The sequence below is a fragment of the Homo sapiens genome, chromosome 5 (assembly GCF_000001405.40).
Source record: "Homo sapiens chromosome 5, GRCh38.p14 Primary Assembly".
In the NCBI taxonomy this organism is placed as follows: Eukaryota; Metazoa; Chordata; class Mammalia; order Primates; family Hominidae; genus Homo; species Homo sapiens.
The window spans coordinates 176,251,671-176,271,706 of record NC_000005.10 but is presented as its reverse complement, the minus strand read 5'-3'; the positions used below and the strand labels follow the sequence as shown (position 1 = coordinate 176,271,706).

General features: G+C 40.7%; 1 protein-coding gene across 7 annotated transcripts in view; it reads right to left on the bottom strand.

Annotated features, from left to right (window-relative positions):
• Window positions 1-20,036, bottom strand: part of SIMC1 (SUMO interacting motifs containing 1) — a 107,566-nt gene that overhangs the window by 74,283 nt on the left and 13,247 nt on the right. Inside the window, exons 2-3 of one of the 7 annotated variants that reach the window (NM_001308196.2) lie at window positions 10,558-10,679; window positions 8,205-8,290 (exon numbers count right to left, since the gene is read on the bottom strand). The exons of 3 other annotated variants lie outside the window; for them this stretch is intronic. In NM_001308196.2, coding sequence (NP_001295125.1) covers window positions 8,205-8,276 — 72 coding nt within the window. In that variant the 5' untranslated portion in view covers window positions 8,277-8,290; window positions 10,558-10,679. Of the gene's footprint in view, window positions 1-1,186; window positions 1,317-4,044; window positions 9,981-10,557; window positions 10,680-20,036 lie in introns of those variants that run through there. 3 more of the 7 variants (XM_011534554.3, XM_011534553.3, XM_011534556.3) reach the window with 3 other exon arrangements.

Here is a 20,036-nt window from a genome sequence, read left to right as displayed (position 1 = left end):
TGAAATGTATAATAAAATATTGCTTACTGTAGTCACCTTGTTGTGCTATCAAATACTAGATCTTATTCATTGTATCTAAAAATATTTTTGTACCCATTAACCATCCATTCTCTCCCAACCCCCTACTCCCCTTCCTAGCCTCTGGTAACCATCATTCTACTCACTATCACCATGAGTCTAATTTTTAGCTCTCACAATGAGGACATGCAAAGTTTGTCTTTGTGTGCCTAACTTATTTCACTTAACAGAATGTCGTCCAGTTCTGGAAGGTTATTAATAATTATTGATTCTATTTCTTTACTGGATATAGGTCTACTTAAATTATCTACTCATACACTTTTTTTTTTGAGACAGAGCCTTGCTCTGTCACCCAGGCTGGAGCGCAGTGGCGAGATCTTGGCTCACTGCAACTTCCGCCTCCAGGGTTCAAATGATTCTCAGGCCTCAGCCTCCTGAGTAGCTGGGATTACAGGTGCCTGCCACCATGCCTGGCTAATTTTTGTATTTTTAGTAGAGATGGGGTTTCGCCATGTTGGCCAGGCTGGTCTCGAACTCCTGACCTCAGGTGATCCGCCCACCTTGGCCTCCCAAAGTGCTGGGATTACAGGCCACCATGCCTGGCCCCTCTTTACTCTTCCCTCTCCTCCCGGTGCTGTGAGTTGTGCTGCCTGAAGTTGGGGAAGGGGTGACATAAGCTTTCCCTTGGCTGCCCCAGCTGGTGTCTCACTAGATCGTGTGGACCCCAAATCCACTGGCTCTGAGCCCAACACAGCACCAGGACTTGTGCAGGAATTGCAGTCCTTGTGGCCTAGACTGCCTTTCAAATTTATTTAGCACCCCAGAGCACCTTAGCCCATGGTGGTGGGGCTAGCTGGAACTCAAGTTCCGACTGCTAGGATGGACGATTTGCCTCTGGCTATGTCTGTTCTAAATGCTTCTGCTGTGGGCACTGGCCAAATTCTGCCATGTGTTGTTTTCTGCTGTGACAGGGCTGCAGTGAGTTCCAATGCAAAGTCTCACAATCACTTCGCTTTCCCTTCCCCAAGCACACAGATTCTCTCTCCACATCATACTGCACTGCTGGATGACGGAGGAGGTGTGGTATAGGCAATTCAAGACTATCTTTCCTAACCTCTTCAGTGCCTCTTTCCTTAATATGTTAAAACCAGGTACTGTGATTGCTCACCTGAGTTTTAGTTCTTCTGAAAGTGCTTTCTTGTGTGGATAGTTGTTCAAGTTGGTGTTCTTGCTTGGGGGACAAATGCTGGAGGGTTCTATTCAGCCATCTTGCTCTGCCTTCCCTGCTTGTTCTTGAACTTAAAAGAAAGAATTTCAGATTTCCATCATTAAGTATAATTCTAGCTGTGGGGTTTTCACAGATGCCTTTAAGGAAGTTCTCTTCTTTTCCTAGTTTACTCAGAGTTTAAATTGGGAAGAGCTATTACATTTTGTCAAATGCTTCTTCAGCATCTGTTAAGATGATGATGATTTTTTGTTCTACTAATATCAGAATTTATATTGATGGATTTTCTAGTGTTAAATTAACCTTGCAATCCTGGGAAAGCTTCTCTTGGTTATGATGTATTGTTCTTTTCCTATATTGATGGGCTTCAGTGAATCGATATTTTGTTAAGAATTTTTGCATATTTATCCTGGGCACAGTGGTGCATGCCTGTAATCCCAGCACTTTGGGAGGCCTAGGCGGGAGGATCTCTTGAGCTCAGGAGTTCAAGACCAGCCTGGGCAACAAAGCAAGACCTTGTCTCTACAAAAAAAAAAATAAAATAAAATAAACTTGCTGGGCGTGGTGGTGTATGCCAGTGGTCCCAGCTACCTGGGAGGCTCAGAAGGGAGGACGGCTTAAACCTGGGAGGTCAAGGCTGCAGTCAGCTGTGGGGTCACCACTGCACTCCAGCCTGGGCAATAGAGTGAGGCGTCATCTCTCAGAAAAAAAAAATTTGCATGTTTATGTGGGATTTTTATTTGTAATTTTCTATTTTTGTAATTTTTCTGTTTTTGTTATCGGAGTAAAACTGATTTAATAAAATAACTTGAGAAACAGTCCTACCCCTTCTATTTAAGTTGTGTTTGAATGGTACTATGTCTTTCTTAAATGTTTGGTGAAATTCACCAGTGAACCTCTTTGCACCTGAAATTTGCTTTGCAGGAAAGGTACAAATTAAAATTACAAATTCAATTTCTTTAGTAGACATAGGGCTATTAATATTTTATCTGCCTTCTTGTGTTAGTTTTATGACTTGTGTTTTTCCAGAAATTTGTCCATTTCATTTATCAAATTTATTGGCATAAAATTGTTCATAATATTTCCTATCAACTTTATAATTCTATACTCTGTATAGATTTATTCCCAATTCCTATTTTTATCCCCAATATTGGTAACATTTTTTAAATCCCTGATCAATCTAGCTAGATATTTATCAACTTTATTGATTTTTTAATCTGTTTCCTATTTCATCTATTTCTGTTATCTTTATTATTTCCTTCTTTCTACTTTGTATTTAATTTGTTCTTTCTCTAGCTTCTTAAATGGAAGCTTAGGTTTAGACTTTTTTCTTTTCTAACATTAACATTTAAAACTAAAAATTTCACTGTAATGACTACTTTGGCTTCATCCCACAATTTTTAAAAGTATGTGAATTTTTCTGAAGGACACAATTTTTAATATGTAGTCATTTTATTATCATGTGGTTCAAATTTACTTTCATTATGGTCAGAAAACATACTCTGTAAGATTTTAATCTTTTGAAATACACTGAGACTCATGTCCTAACACACAGCCTACCCTGGTGAATCTTCCTTGTGTACTTAGGGAGAAAAAGTGTATTCTGTATTTGTTAGTTACAGTTCTATAAATATCAATCAGGTCATGGTAGTTAATAGTGTTTTTCAGATCTTTGATTTCTTTACTTTGGTGGGGGCGATCCAGTTTTATTATCAACTACAGAGCGAAAAGTGTCCAACTACGGTTGTAGTTTGACTGTTTTCCCTTAGTTCAGTTGTTTGCTTCATGTATTTTGAAACTGTATTTATTAGGTGCATATACACATGTAATTCTTATAACTTCCCAATGTATTAACTCTTTTATCATTATGAAAGATTCCTCTTAGTCTCCAGAAATCTTCCTTGTATTGATGTCTTGTTTTTCTGGTAAGAATAGAGTTACTACAAATTTCTTGTGCATACTATTTGCATGGTATATTTCTTTCTATCCTTTTACTCTCAGTGTATTTGCATCTTTATATGTAGAATGTCTCTCATATAGACAGTACATCTCATATAGATAGCACATACTTGGTTCTTGCTTTTTTTTTTGGTCCAGTCTGACAATCTCTGCCTTTTGTTTAGAATTTTGGTCTATTTACACTTAATTATTTACATGTTCACTTTTAAACCTACAATCATACCATCTCTTTCCTATTTCTTCTATCCATTATTTGTTTCATTGTCCCTCTTTTCCTACCTCCCTTTATGCTAGTGACATATTTTTTGGCATTCCATTTTAACTCCTCTATTGGTTTTCTATCTATATGTCTTTTCATTATATTTTTAGTGGTTGCTCTTGGGACTACAGTGTATAAATTCAATTTATTCCAGTGTACTTTAGAAAATTTTAGAAAATGTATTGAATTACTTCTTGGCACAGCATGGTGGCTCAGGCTTGTAGTCCTAGCACTTTGGGAGGCCAAGGCGGGCAGATTGCTTGCGCTCAGGAGCTGGAGACCAGCCTTGGCAACATGGTGAAACTCCATCCCTACAAAAAAATCTGGCTGGCGTGATGGTGCGCACCTGTAGTCCCAGCTACTTGGCGGGGCTGAGTCAAGAGGATTGCTTGAACCTGGGAGGTTGAGGCTGCAGCGAGCTGAGATTGCATCACTGCACTCAAGCCTGGGGGACAAAGCCAGACAAAGACAAGCCTGGGGGACAAAAAAAAAAAAAAAAAAAAAAAAAAAAACAGAAAGAAAAGAAAATTTATCGAATTACTTAAGGTAAAACTATAGAAACCTTACAAAATATTCCACTCACCTGTGCCTCATCCTGTATTTTTGTTGTCCTGTGTATTATCTGTATACATTGTAAACACATCAGCACAGTAGTACTATACTTTTTCAGTCACTTGTCTTTTAAAGATATTAAGACATAACAAAAAATCATTATTTTTGTTTTACACACATTTACAATTTCATGTGCTCTTCACTCCTTTGTGTAGATCCAAATATCCATTTAGGTGTCATTTCCCTTCAGCCAAAATGTCTTATAGTGCAGGTCTGCTAGTGAAAAATTCTCTCATCTCTGTTTATCCAAAAATGTCTTTATTTTCCCCTTATTTTTGAAGGATAATTTTTCCAGATGCAGAATTCTTGGCTGAAAGCTTTCTTTTTTCCATCATTTGAATATGTTGGTCCAATGTCTTTTGACCTCCACGGTTTCTGATAAGAAGTGAGGTGTTAACTGCACTGTTGTTCCCTATGTACAATATACCATTTTTCTCTGGACAGTCAATAAGTGGTTTTCTTTGTAATTATCTTGCTTTCAGTCTGCTGTACTACTTGGGTAAGTTAATTTTTTCCCACAAAATGTGAGAAAATTCCAGTCATTATTTCTTCAAAAAATTTTCTATAATTTACTGCTGCCCCTCCTTCTAAGACTCTAATTATACCTATTATGGATTGTTTGATATTGCCCTACATATCTCTTTTCAACTTTATTCCATCTTTTTCTCCCCTGTTTCTCGAAACTGGGTGATTTCTATTGATCTAGCTTGAACTTCATGGCTTCTTTTGCCAATCTGCTTTGTTTTCTAATCTACTGTTGAAGCTATTTAGATTTTTAAAAAATTTCAGTTACTGTATTTTTCAACTCTCAAATTTCCATTTTTATAGTTTCCATTTCTTGGTTGAGATTTTCCACCCCACTCATTGATGTCATAGTTTAACTCATTGAACACATTTACAATAATTGCTTTGAAGTTTCTGTTAAATCCAACAACTAGGCTCACTCAGAGTCAGTTTCTATTGACTGCCCTTTCCCCCTCCTTGAGTATGAGTCACACTTCTGTTTCTTTGCATGCCTAGACACTGGGTTTAACTGTGTTCTTCTAAGAATTGTTGTGGGGTTTTTGTTGTTCTAGTAGATATTAATACTTAACCTGCCTAGATTCGAACTGCAAACTTTGTCTCCCTTGCACAATATAGGTACTGATATCTTTGTTCTTATGGTTTCCAGCTGCTGTTGTTTTAACCTGGCCTCTTGAGGCAGGGGCGGGGGTCCTCTGTTGTGCCTACATAATTTGGCTGTCAGCCAACCACCTGAGCAGTCATTATACTAAAATTTTGCAGTTCACCCTTCGTATGATTTTTCTTGTTTGCAGGGATTCCTCTGTAATTTCTTGCTCCGCCAGCCTTGACCTCTGTCCCCTGACATTTCAAGTTCATAAAATCTCAGCTTTCTGCCACCCAAGTTGCAAATGACTGGGGAATGCAATCAGTTAAAAAAGCCGCAAAGTCACAGATATCACCCTATGCAGCTATCTTGTAAGAATAGATTCCTCTCTGGTATCTGCCTGATTTCTCACCGGGCCCTCAGAGAGTACTTTAACTGTGAGGCAGTTTCACAGATTGGAAGTAGAATCCAACTGCATTGCTCTTCAAATTTTGGAGAGAGTCAGTTGCTCCCCTCTTTGATGGTTCCATAGCACACTGTACATACTAATATTACTATAGCACATATCATGAGGCATTTTGCAGGATACTTAATTATCTTCTCCCCCATTTGAGAATAACCTCTTTTTGTATCCTGTATCCTTGGTAGCTATAAGGTACTTGGATCCAACACGATTAATAAATAAATTTAATCTAATAATATTTGTTAATTTATTCTCATTTCATTGTTCTCTCATACTCTCCCTAACTCCTAATTAAGTAATTTGCATTTCCATCACATATTGCTCCAATTAAACTTTCACAGATAACAAATTATCTAATTTTAACAGTTGTATTGCCAGAGGGAGGAGAAACACAGATTACTAAGGCATCCCGATATTTGGCATCTGCAGAGTGAAACTAGGAAATAACTCCAACAGGCCTCCTAATTAACCCTATTTTCAGACATTGTGAGGTGAATGTTATTCACATTTTAGAGCAAAACAAAGAAAGCTCAGAAACCAGAACACTTTTCTTTTGGGGCTTTGGATTTAAGAAATTGGAAGTGTCAGATTCACCTATACCAGCAAACTGCTGACCCGAGGCTTATCACCCACTTATGGTGTTGATAATGGGATATGCTGCCTGCCACTCTAGTTTCTGTTCACAGTTTTTGGTTAATTTTACTCTTTGGAGACTTCTGTTAATTCTTGCCAGCCTGACTAGCAGGGCAAATTAGTTTCGGTCAGAATCCTGTTTGTTTGTTTGTTTGTTTGTTTGAAGTGGAGAGTCCTTCTAAGTTGGCTATACTCCTGAAGGAAAAAATTCCTGGTCAAGGCTTGTGTTGAATTTCTATCCAGTGACCTTGTTAAACTCCCTCAATTAGGTCCTAGGAGGGTTTTGTTGTTGTTGTTGTTGGGGGTGGGTATATTCCTTGAGATCTTCTGCATAGACAATCATGTCATCTGGAAATAGGGACAGTTTCATTTCTTTTTTCCAATCTGTAAGCCTTTTATTCCCCTTTCCTATTTTGCTTTTTTTGTAGAAATGGTATCTCCCTATCTTGCTCAGGCTGGTCTTGAACTCCTGGGCCCAAGCAATCTTCCCTCCTTGGCCTCCCAAAGTGCTGGGATTATAGGTATGAGCCACCATGCCTGGCCTATTTCCTTTTCTTAACTAATTGCACCAGCTGAGGCTTCCAGCAACATCTGAATAGGAGCAGTAAAAGCAAATATCATTGCTTTGTTCTAAATCTCACAGTCCACAATCAAATGTGGGAGCAATGGGCTGATCTAAGGTTTGAACTTAAAATTAAAAGGAAAGCAGACTGTAAAAGTCTGAAAAATTTGCAACCCAGTCCTGTGGTAGGGAAGGAACAAGCATTTTTAGGAGAGAAATTTAAAGGGGCTGAAGAGCAACCACTTGCAGAAGAAATTAGCAAGACAATGGGAAAAAGGCCTAGAGGCCTAGAAGGACAGAATGGTTTCAGGAGCCCAATCCAAATTCAGGCTGTTCAGGCCCCAGTCAGGGCTCAAAAGGCCCCAGGCATGGCTCAGGCTGCCAATCAGAGGCCCTGGCAGCTTCCATGTGGTGTTAAGTCTGTAGACACACAGAATGCAAGAGCACATTCTGGCAGTTTCCACCTAGATTTCGGAAGATGTATCAGAAAGTCTGCATGCCCAGGCAGAAGCCTGCCACAGGGGCAGAGCCCCCACAGAGAGACTCTACTAGGGCAGTGCCAAGGGGAAATGTGGGGTTGGAGCCCCCATAGAGTCCCTACTGGGCTACTCCTTAGTAGAACAAGGCTGCTGCCCTCCAGAGCTGAGGGTGGTAGAGCCACCAGCAGGTTGTATTTTCAGCCTGGAAAGGCCAAAGGCCCAACTCCCACCTGTGGGAGTAGCCATATGGGCTGTGCCCCAGTAAAGCCAAGGGGTGGGGCTGCCCAAGGCCTTAGGAGCCCACCCCTTGCACCAGTATGCCCAGGATGCAGGACATGGAGTTAAGGGAGATTATTTTGGAGCTTTAAGATTTAATGTCTGCCCTGCTGAGTTCTGGACTTGCATGAGGCCTATTACCGCTTTCTTTTGGCCATTTTTTTCCTTCTGGAATGGGAATGTTTACCCTATGCCTGCACAATCATTGTATCTTAGAATTCAATAACTTGCTTTTCATCTTACAGGCTCACAGCTGGAAGAAATTAGCCTTCAGTCTCAGATGAGATTTTGCATTTTTTAAATTGATAGTGGAATGAGTTAAGACTTTTGGAAATTATTGGGAAGGGATGATTATATTTTGCAATGTGAGAAGGATATGACATTTGGGGGGCCAGGGAAAGAATAATAGTTTGGATATTTGGCCCCTCCAAGTGTCAGGTTAAAATTTGATCCCCAATGTTGGAGGTAGGACCTGGTGGAATCATGGGGACAGATCCCTCATAAATGTCATGGTGCCATTCTCAAGGGATTGAGCCAGTTCTCACTCATAGTTCCTGCAAAATATGAATGTTCTTTTTTCTCTTCCTCCTTCTCTCACCATGAGACATACCTGCTCCCCATTCACCTCTGCCATGGTTGGAAGCTTCCTGAGGTCCTCACCAGAAGCAGATGCTGGTGCCATGCTTCTTGTTCAGCCTGCAGAATTATGAGCCAAATAAACCTCTTTTCTTTATAAATGACTCAGCCTCAGGTATTCCCTTACAGCAATGCAAAATGAACTAAGACAGCTATTCTGAATCTTTTGTCCCTCCATATAAACTTTACAATCAGTTTGTTGATGTTCATAGAACAAATTGCTGGGATTTCGATTGGGATTGCATTGAATCTACCAATTAAGTCAGGAAGAATTGACATCTTGATGACATTGAGTTTTCCTATTCACAAACATGAAATGTTTCTCCATTTATGTAGTTCTTTGACACCTGTCATCACAGTTTTCTATATAAAGATTTTGTAGATATTTTGTTATATTTACGCCTATTTGTTCAATTTCTGGGAGTGCTAATGTAAATGTAAATGGTAATGTATGTTTCATTTCAAATTCCACTTTTTCATTGTTAGTATATAGGAAAGCAACTGAGTTTTGTATGTTAACCTTGTGTTCTGCAAACTCACTATAATTGCTTGTTAGTTCCAAGAGGTTTTTTTCTAGATTCTTTGAGATTTTCTACATAGACAAATCATGTCTTCAGTGAACAAAGACAATTTTATTTCTTCCTTCCCAATCCACATACTTTTTCTTTTTTTGAGACAGAGTCTCACTCTGTCACCCAGGCTGGGGCGCAGTGGTGCAATCTCGGCTCATTGCAACCTCTGCTTCCTGGGTTCAAGTGATTCTTCTGCCTCAGCCTCCCAAGTAGCTAGGACTACAGGTGCTCACCACCATGCCTGGCTGATTTGTATATTTTTAGTAGCGACGAGATTTCACCACACTGGCCAGGCTGGTCTCGAACTCCTGGCCACAAGTACTCCACCTGCCTTGGCCTCCCAAAGTGCTCAGATTACAGGCGTGATCTACCATGCCCGGCCCTGTATCTTTCTTTTCTTCTGTTTTCTTTTTTTGTCACATTAGCTAGGACTTCCAGTACAATGCTGAAAAGGAGTAGTGAGGAGACATCCTTGCCTTATCCCTGATCTTAGTAGGAATGCTTCAAGTTTTTCACCATTAGGTATGATATTAGTGGCAGGTTTTTTGTAGATGTTCTTTCTGAAGTTGAGGAAGTTCCCCTCTATTCCTAGTTTGCTGGAAGGCTTTTTTTTTTTTTTTTTTTTAAATCATGAATGGGTATTAAATGCTTTTTTGGCCTCTATTGAAGGGATCATGTGATTTCTCTTCTTTAGCCTACTGATGTGGTGAATTGCATTAATGGATTTAATTGATTTTCAAATGTAGAATTGACCTTGCATACCTGGGAGAAATCCTACTTGGTCACGATGTGTAATTCTTTTTGAACATTGTTGGATTTGATTTGCTAATATTTTGTTGAGGATTTTTGCATCTGTGTTCATAAAAGATATTGGTCTGTAGTTTTCTCTTATAATTTGTCTTGCTTTGGTATTAGTGTAATGTTGGTCTCATAGAGCTAGTTAGCAAGTAGTCCCTCTGCTTCTATTCTCTGAAAGATTGTTGAGAATTTTTATCATTTCTTCCTTAAATATTTGTTGGAATTCACTCGCCAACCCATCTGGGCCTGGGGCTTTCTGTTTTGGAAGGTTACTAATAATTATTGATTCTATTTCTTTATTGAATATAGGTCTACTTAAATTACTTATTCATAAAACTTTTTTTTTTCCTTTTTTTTTTGAGACAGAGTCTTGCTCTGTCACCCAGCCTGGAGTGCAGTGGCATGATCTCAGCCCAATGCAACTTCCACCTCCTGGGTTCAAGTGATTCTCCTGCCTCAGCCTCCAGAGTAGCTGGGATTACAGGTGCATGCCACCACACCTGGCTAATTTTTTGTATTTTTAGTAGAGATGGGGTTTCGCCATGTTGGCCAGGCTGGTCTCAAACTCCCAGCCTCAAGTGATCCACCTGCCTCGGCCTTCCAAAGAGCTGGCTGGGAATACAGGTGTGAGCCACCGTGCCCAGCCATCATACACCTTTTATAACAAAAATTTAAATTTTAAAAAGCATTTGTTCTACCCAAATTGATCTATAAGCTTAATAATTACAAACAAAATTCCAATGGGATTTTAAAAAGTAACAGATAAGATGATTCATAACTTCATTTGAAATAGGAAAAGCAGCCGGGCGCGGTGGCTTGTGCCTGTAATCCCAGCACTTTAGGAGGCTGAGGTGGGCGGATCACTTAAGGTCAGCAGTTTGAGACCAGCCTGGCCAATATGACGAAACCCCATCTCTACTAAAAATACAAAAATTAGCTGGGCATGGTGGCGTATACCTGTAATCCCAGCTACTCAGGAAGCTGAGGCAGGAGAATCACTTGAACCCGGGAGGCAGAGGTTGCAGTGAGCTGAGGTTGTGCGACTGCACTCCAGCCTGAGTGACACAGCAAGACACCGTCTGAAAAAAAAAAGAAAAGAAAAAAACAAAGAACGTTACTACTGCTGTATGTAGTTGCCACTGCTGCTGCCATCTTCACTAAATTTGAGTTCACCTGGGCCCTGCTTCTTCCTGTCACCAGCTTCTGGTAGAACCTAGGTCCCACGTCTGAGCACTAGGTGTACCAGAGCCTGGGAAAGTGAGCATCTGCCATTTCTGCGCATCTGCCATTTCTGCTTCTTTACACAGAAGTAGATTGTATCTCTGAAGGTGGGAGTTCTGTACACTCCTAGTGTTCTGAGATTCAGACACTAGGATGTCACAAGGAATGACATAATGTCCACAATAGTGGTATATATTAAAATAAAAAAAGACATATTACTCTTTATCCTCAAAATTCCACTGCAAGGAACTTGTCCTACAAACATTTTTTTTCCTTTTTTAACCATAAAATGCAGAGAAAAAAAACCGTATTTTAATGACCATGCAAGAGGATTCATCATATCATAGTCTAACATCAAAAAAATTAAAATCAATAAGAGACTGGCTAAATTTGGTTTTTAAAAATTTTTATTAAAATTTCTTTTTAGTTTCATAGGTTTTTGGGTAACAGGTGGTATTTGGTCACACAAGTAAGTTCTTTAGTGGTGATTTGTGAGGTTTTGGTGTACCTACCACCCAAGCAGTATACACTGAACCTAATTTGTAGTCTTTCATCCCTCGCCCCCTTCTCACCCCTTCCCCGAGTCGCCAAAGTCATTCTTATGCCTTTGCATCCTCATAGTTTAGCTCCCACTTATGAGGGAGAACATACGATGTTTGGTTTTCCATTCCTGAGTAATTATGGTTTTCTAACATTAGAATAACATGCAGCTGATAAAATGATTATTGAATGAATACTTACAATGTACCAGGCACCATGTTGTGCACTGGGAATACCATTGCAAGCAAAATGAATAATGGTCTGAATGAGGTATGAATTTTTTAAATGTCTATTACGTATTTTTTAATTTTAAAATATATATACTAATTATATATAAATATATATAAATTTTAGTTTTTATTTTAATGCCTATAATATATTAAGTAATTTTAAAAAGCTAGCATGATCCCATTGGGAAAGAATTATACATTTAAATATGTTTGTGCACACACAAGGAAAATTTCTGGAGCAATACACAAAAACTGTAGTTATCTAGAGTAGAAATAGATAGGGGCAGGTTCTTACATAAGAATTTCTTACCTGTATTTACAGTTTATGATTATTATTATTTTTGAGATAGAGTCTTGCTCTGTTGCCCAGGCTGGAGTGCAGTGGCACGATTTCGGCTCACTGCAACCTCCACCTCCCAGATTCAAGTAATTGTCATGCCTCAGCCTCCAGAGTAGGTGGGACTACAGGCGCGTGCCACCACTCCCAGCTAACTTTTGTATTTTTAGTAGGGACAGGGTTTCGCCATGTTGGCCAGGCTGGTCTCGAACTCCTGACCTCAAGTGATCCACCTGCCTCAGCCTCCCAAAGTGTTGGGATTATAGGCGTGAGCCACCACACCCGGCCTACTTACAATTTAAAAATAATGTTTATAATTTTTTTTTTTCCAGATGGAGTCTCGCTCTGTCACCCAGGCTGGAGTGCAGTGGAGCCATCTTGGCTCACTGCAACCTCTGCCTCCCAGGTTCAAGTGATTCTCAGTCCTCAGCCTCCCAAGTAGCTGGACTACCATGCCTGGCTGATTTTTTGTATTAGTGGAGATGGGGCTTTACCATATTGTCGAGGCTGGTCTCAAACTCCCAACTCAAGTGATCTGTCCACCTCAGCCTCCCAAAGTGCTGGGATTACTGGCGTGAGCCACCATGCCCAGCCTAATGTTTATAATTTAAAATGGGAAAAATTTATTTTTCAAATGATATGATTATGTACCTTTAAAACATAAGCAAATCAGAGAACCCACTGGAGGGTACAGGGTTTCCTTCTGGAGTGAAGTAAATGTTCTAAAATTAGATAGTGGTGATGGCTGCACAACTCAGAGAATTTTATGGTATGGTATGGAATTATACTTTAATAAAGCTGTTATTAAAAGACCCACTGGAATAAGGTAACACTTTACAAATTAGCTAATACAAAAATACAAAACTAAATCCCTACCAGACAGGAAGGAACACTTTGTCTTCATGGGTAGCCAGACCCACCAACCTCCCAAAGACAGTTCAGGATAAATGAGGGATGTTGGAAGTGATCTGCAGGCTTTCAAGGAAGCTGAACTTGATTTAAGACCCAAGTTAATTTCACATCTGATGTATTAAATTCAAAATGTAGATGAATTTTCCTTTCTATTCTATGGCAGCTCCATACAGCTGTAGTGAATATTATATTAATAAGTTCACTAACTTATGCGATTGTGCCACTGCACTCCAGCCTGGGTGAGAGAGCAAGACTCTATCTCAAAAAAAAAAAGGAGTTTTAAAAAACAATTTTTGTATTAAAAAACTCTCGTGAGTCTATTTTTCCAAAACCATCCGTTTAAAAAATAGAATTATATTTTGTGACTTGCTTTTTTCCACTTAACTGTTTACTACTACCATCCCCACCTGATGTTCCCTTGGAAACCTGGTATGAGGTTTGAAAAAGTTTGCCCCAGGATCTTAAAGATGGAGACAAGCGGTGGTAAACCTGCTCTACTAGTTAGCATCTGGTTGAAGCTACCTTAGTTTCCTCATTTACCAAACAGGGATAATAATACTACCTACCTCATGGGGTTGCAGTGAAGATTATGAGTTAATCCAAGTAAAGCACTTGACATGGTACCTGGCATAAATGCCAGCTATTCTTATTATGTGATGCTTACCATGATTGATATGTTTAACCCTACATAACACATAGTCATTCAAAATCGAAACACTAGCTCCATAAAAAGGCACCAAACCCAAGGAAGTCTTATAGTTTTACTGATCACCAAGAAGCAAATCTCATAAAATGAAAGTTATACTGTACTTCCGCTTAGAAAGACAATATTGTAAAGACATTAACTCTCCTTTAATTAACTTATAAAACTAACGTAGTGGTTCTGAACTGGTGCAATTTTACCTCCCATACAGGGGCTATTTGGCAATGTCTGGAGACATTTTTTATTGTCACAAGTTGAGGGGTTACTACTGGCAGGCATCTAGCGGGTAGAGGTCAGAGATGCTATTAAATATCCTACAGTGCATAGGACAACCCCATGCAACAAATAATTATACGGCCCAAAGAAACAATCTAATGCAGTCTTCGACAAAATTATTCTAAAATTCATTTGGGGGAACAAATGGGTACAAATAGCCAGGACATTTTTTTGGGGGGAAAAATAGTAAGGAGACACATACGTACATATGTATGTATTCCCCATATGTTGAATTGTAATCCCCAAGGTTGGAGGTGGGGCCTGGTGGGAGGTATTTGGGTCATGGGGGCATATCCCTCATGGCTTGGTGCTGTCTTCACAATAATGAGCTATTGAGAGATCTGGTTGTTTGAGTCTGTGGCACCTTTGCACCCCCACTCTCACTCTCTTGCTCTCTCCATGTGATGTGCCAGCTCCCACTGTGCCTTCCACCATGATTGTAAGCTTCCTGAAGTCTCATCAGAAGGTGAACAGATGCTGGCACCATGCTTCCTGTACAGTCTTTGGAACTGTGAGCTCTTTTCTTGATCAATTACCCAGTCTCAGGCATTTCTTTTGTTTTTTAATTAAAAAAAATTTTTATATAAAAGTCTTTGATCCATTTTGAATTGATTTTTTGCATAAGGTGAGAGATGAGTATTCTCAGGGATTTCTTTACAGTAATGCAAGAACAGCCTAACACATATACTGCTTTATGAAATCCCGAAAGATATATCAAACTATAAAAATAAAACAGGAAAGTTATGCTATTGAATAAAGAAATCAATGAAACATAATGGAAAACCCAGAAACACAAGTAAATAAAATAATTTGGTATAAAAATATGTTACGGGCCAGGTGTGGTGGCTCACACATGTAATCCCAGTGCTTTGGGAGGCCAATGTGGTAGGACCACTTGAGGCAAGGAGTTCAAGACCAGTGTGGGCAACATAGTGAGACCCTGTCTCTACCAAAAAATAAATAAATTAATTTAAAAAATTAGCCAGGCATGGTGGTGTTTGCCTATAGTCCTGCCTACTCAGGAGACTTGAGGCAGGAGATTACTTGAGCCCAGGAGTTCAAGGCTACAATGAGCTATGATTCTGCCACTGCACTCCAGGTTGGGTAACAGTGAGATTCTAAAAAAAAAAATGTTACAAATAATTGGAGAAAAGATAATTGTTTTAAAATGACTGACACAATTGGTAACACCATATTTTATAATCTAATATGTGGAATGTTTCCATAATACATATATAACCAGGATGTATCCTATAATTAATGTGTGCATTTCATGTGGTAGTGTTTCTTTTTAGAAAAGGTGTTTTTAAAATGACAGCAAGTCTTAGATTTGTTGTTATCTTAGAAATAAGGCAAGAAATTAAATTTTATCCTTAAGTAAAATGACTAACTATTTAAGAAAGAAGGACAAAACTAAAGGTCTAAACATGCCATAGAAGGTCTGAGTATATCATGGAAAGTTTGCGAAGGATGAATTTACAAAAGAAATTTGTGGTGACCAAGTTGGCTATAATTAGAAGAAACTTACTTATAAGTATGTCTAAAGACTGCTTCAATTAAAAAATACGTGTATATATATTTATATACACATTGATATGAAAACTAAAATTCTGGTCTCCTATATTAGAACAATGTTTTCTTGAAGTATTGATCTGCTTTTAATAACATTTGCAAGAGATTTTGACCTAATTCTGAAATTTGTTTCTTAAATTTTCAACTATCTTCTGAAGTGCAGCTTTTTTGTTTGTTTTTTAGTCTTCCTTTCTCTAATATCAGTTTTAAAATGAATCTTCTTCATTTAGAATGGTAATTTCATATTTTGAGGTAGAGTTTTCCTGTGGAAGCTTCTCAGATTCATATCTCAGTAGTTAAACTTTTGCTGTATCTTGTTTCATGTGATTTGCAGGTCAGACATTTCTGCCTTTTGGTCTTCCACTTTCTCTCCTTGAGACGGTATATCTTTTTGTTTGGTGAGGTGATAATTCTCTTTTAACTTTTTCATCTTCTGTAACTTTTTTTCTCCAGCTCTAACTCTGCTTTAACGGCCTGACACTGAAATGTTCTATCTTGAAGGCCTAGAAAAGTTGTTTTCCTCCAGTATATCCTGATTCTGTGCTCTTGGCTTTCTTACTTTCTTTCTTTCTTTTCTTTTCTTTTTTTTTTTTTAGGAGTACTCATTTTTTAATTTATTTTAGTCAGGATATTTTCTGAAGTAAAATTTCACAGAAAACAAAATTTTATTTTACATGTACATTTCATCTCTTTAAAGTCAAGTTAGCTCTTTTTCTTTAAAAAAAAAAAAAAAAAAAAGACAGTCTCACTCTGTCACCCAGGCTGGAGTGCAGTGGCACGATCTTGGCTCACTACAACTTCTGCCTCCGGGTTCAAGCGATTCTCCTTTCTCAGCCTCCATAGTAGCTGGGGTTACGAATGTGCGCCACTACACCCAGCTCATTTTTTGTATTTTTAGTAGAGACAGGGTTTCACCATGTTGGCCAGGCTGGTCTCAAATTCCTGTCCTCAAGTGATCAGCTCGCCTCAGCCTCCCAAAGTGCTGGGATTACAGGCATGAGCCACAGCACCTGGTCTTGAAGATAACGTTTTTATGACTTTTATTTGAAACATTATTGGTTCTTTTTTTTTTGAGGTGGAGTCTTGCTCTGTTGCTCAGGCTGGAGTGCAGTGGCACAATCTCAGCTCACTGCAACCTCAGCCTCTGGAGTAGCAGGGATTACAGGTGCCCACCACCATGCTGGCTAATTTTTGTATTTTTAGTAAAGACAGTGTTTCACCATGTTGGCCAGGCTGGTCTCGAACCCCTGACCTCAGGTGATCTGCTCACCTCGGCCTCCCAAAGTGCTGGGATTACAGGCATGAGCCACCATGCCTAGCCAGGTTCTTTATTTAAATATTTTGTTTTCTAGCTTTAAGGAAACCTTTTCTTTCTCTTAAGCTACTTATTAGTTTACAGTAATTTGGTATACTTTGTGAACAAAGGTGGAAACATTTTTTTGTCCCTATTTGATTCCTCTAAAATTCAGAAACTATCCATGAGTATTCTTATTTTTTATGGCAAGAATTATTTACCTAAGTTTAATAAAATTTGCTCTCTCTTTATAACAGGATGCAGTTGGAAACATTGGTTATATATATTACCAAGGCTTTAACTAGAGCATCATATTTGAGAATGTGCATATAATGCCTGGCTTCAAGGGTTCCCAGCCTTACAGTGAGTAAGGCTGTTAATACATCTGTTCTTAGATTATAGCCCTGTGCATTGTCTTTGAGTTCCTGTTATACACTGGTAGACTGAACTAAATCTTAAATTCTTCTAGATTCCTCCCATCTTTTCTTCCATGAAATTAGTAAAAACAGGAACTGCTCTGTTCCTGAAATCCTAAAAGCTAAAACTAGATAAATTTTAAGGGGCAAGTCTCATGGCTGATGATGAGTCACACAGAAAGTTCACCAAACCATCCAGTGCCATAACCAGACATTCAAAACTGAAAACCAGGACAATAAGTTGACATTTTCATGCTGCAGACAGCTTTTCCCTAGACGTTAGAACAAGACTACATAATCAGACTCCTACTCCTCTTAATCCTACCTTTTTCACTTGGCAGGATAACGGTGTAATTGAAATTTCACAATCAGCAGCTTCTGTTGGTAACTTGACAGAAACTGGTTTAAGGGATCCTTTAGTCCATCTAGTGGGTGACCTTGGCAACATCCCTAATACAACTGTTGCTCTCTCTCTGCTTTAATTCCACCCAGTCATGGGATCCTAGATGACAAAATTGGTCTATATTATCTATTAGTTAGATAAGGAAATTTCTGTGCTGTTGCTAATACTTTATGCTGTAACTAGATAATGGCCTTTGGGAAAGTTGAGACCCATATATGCAAAATAAGAAAACAGGCCACACAGTTACAAAAGGTGTCACCTAGTTCTCCGTGGTCATTTGATTTATTCAATTGATTCAAAGGTTTAATTGAACCTTGAATCCTAGGTTCATGGCTGAAAACTATTACACAAACCGAGATTATCATTTTACTTTCTATTTTTCTTTTTAAACTTTGTAGCTATTACTTGTTAAAATTCTGCCAAACTACAATGCCTAACAGAATAATGCTGGCCCAGCACTTTGAGGTGATAGGAAACACCTATGGAACTGATAAAATTAAACTTAATAATGAACTCCAGGTAAACTTAGCTTGAGAGCTACTCCCTCCAAACCTCCCTTGTTGCTCAAACGTGGCTAAAAGAGTTTTGACGCTGACTCCTAGTTGTCAATGACTCCCTACAACATGGAATGAGACCAACAATCCAGGATAGGTCCATCCTGGCACTGAGGGATATCAAAACTGAGCTATTTCCAGGCACAGTGGCTCATGCCTGTAATCCCAGAACTTTGGGAGGCTGAGGCGGGTGGATCACTGGAGGTCAGGAGTTCGAGACTAGGCTGGCCAACATTGCAAAACTCCGTCTCTACTAAAAATACAAAAAAATTCTCGAGGAGTATCTTTAGAAGAGCAACCCCAAGACGCATAATCGTCATATTCACCAAGTTGAAATGAAGGAAAAAATATTAAGGGCAGCCAGAGGGAAAGGTCGGGTTACCCACAAAGGGAAGCCCATCAGACTAACAGTGGATCTCTCTGAAGAAACCCTACAAACCAGAAGAGAGTGGGGGCCAATATTCAACATTCTTAAGAAAATAATTTTCACCTCTCCCTCTCCCTCTCTGTCTCCCCTTTCCACAGTCTCCCTCTGATGCCGAGCCGAAGCTGGACTGTACTGCTGCCATCTCGGCTCACTGCAACCTCCCTGCCTGATTCTCCTGCCTCAGCCTGCTGAGTGCCTGCGATTGCAGGCGCGCGCGCCACGCCTGACTGGTTTTCGTATTTTTTTGGTGGAGACAGGGTTTCGCAGCGTGGGCCAGGCTGGTCTCCAGCTCCTAACCGCGAGTGATCTGCCAGCCTCAGCCTCCCGAGGTGCTGGGATTGCAGACGGAGTCTCGTTCACTCAGTGCTCAATGGTGCCCAGGCTGGAGTGCAGTGGCATGATCTCAGCTCGCTACAACCTACACCTCCCAGCCGCCTGCCTTGGCCCCCCAAAGTGCCGAGATTGCAGCCTCTGCCCGGCCGCCACCCCATCTGGGAAGTGAGGAGCGTCTCTGCCTGGCCGCCCATCGTCTGGGAGGTGAGGAGCCCCTCTGCCTGGCTGCCCAGTCTGGAAAGTGAGGAGCGTCTCTGCCCGGCCGCCATCCCATCTAGGAAGTGAGGAGCGCCTCTTCCCGGCTGCCATCCCATCTAGGAAGTGAGGAGCGTCTCTGCCCGGCCGCCCATCGTCTGAGATGTGGGAAGCGCCTCTGCCCCGCCACCCCGTCTGGGATGTGAGGAGCGCCTCTGCCCAGCCGCGACCCCATCTGGGAGGTGAGGAGCGTCTCTGCCCGGCCGCCCTGTCTGAGAAGTGAGGAGACCCTCTGCCTGGCAACCGCCCCGTCTGAGAAGTGAGGAGCCCCTCCGCCCGGCAGCCACCCCGTCTGGGAAGTGAGGAGCGTCTCTGCCCGGAGCGTCTCCGCCCGGCAGCCACCACGTCCGGGACGGAGGTGAGGGGGTCAGCCCCCGCCTAGCCAGCCGCCCCGTCCGGGAGGGAGGTGGGGGGGGCGGTCAGCCCCCCGCCCGGCCAGCCGCCCCGTCCGGGAGGTGAGGGGCGCCTCTGCCCGGCCGTCCCTACTGGGAAGTGAGGAGCCCCTCTGCCCGGCCACCACCCCATCTGGGAGGTGTACCCAACAGCTCATTGAGAACGGGCCATGATGACAATGGTGGTTTTGTGGAATAGAAAGCGGGGAAAGGTGGGGAAAAGATTGAGAAATCGGATGGTTGCCGTGTCTGTGTAGAAAGAAGTAGACATGGGAAACTTTTCATTTTGTTCTGTACTAAGAAAAATTCTTCTGCCTTGGGATCCTGTTGATCTGTGACCTTACCCCCAACCCTGTGCTCTCTGAAACATGTGCTGTGTCCACTCAGGGTTAAATGGATTAAGGGCGGTGCAAGATGTGCTTTGTTAAACAGATGCTTGAAGGCAGCATGCTCGTTAAGAGTCATCACCACTCCCTAATCTCAAGTACCCAGGGACACAAACACTGCGGAAGGCCACAGGGTCCTCTGCCTAGGAGAACCAGAGACCTTTGTTCACTTGTTTATCTGCTGA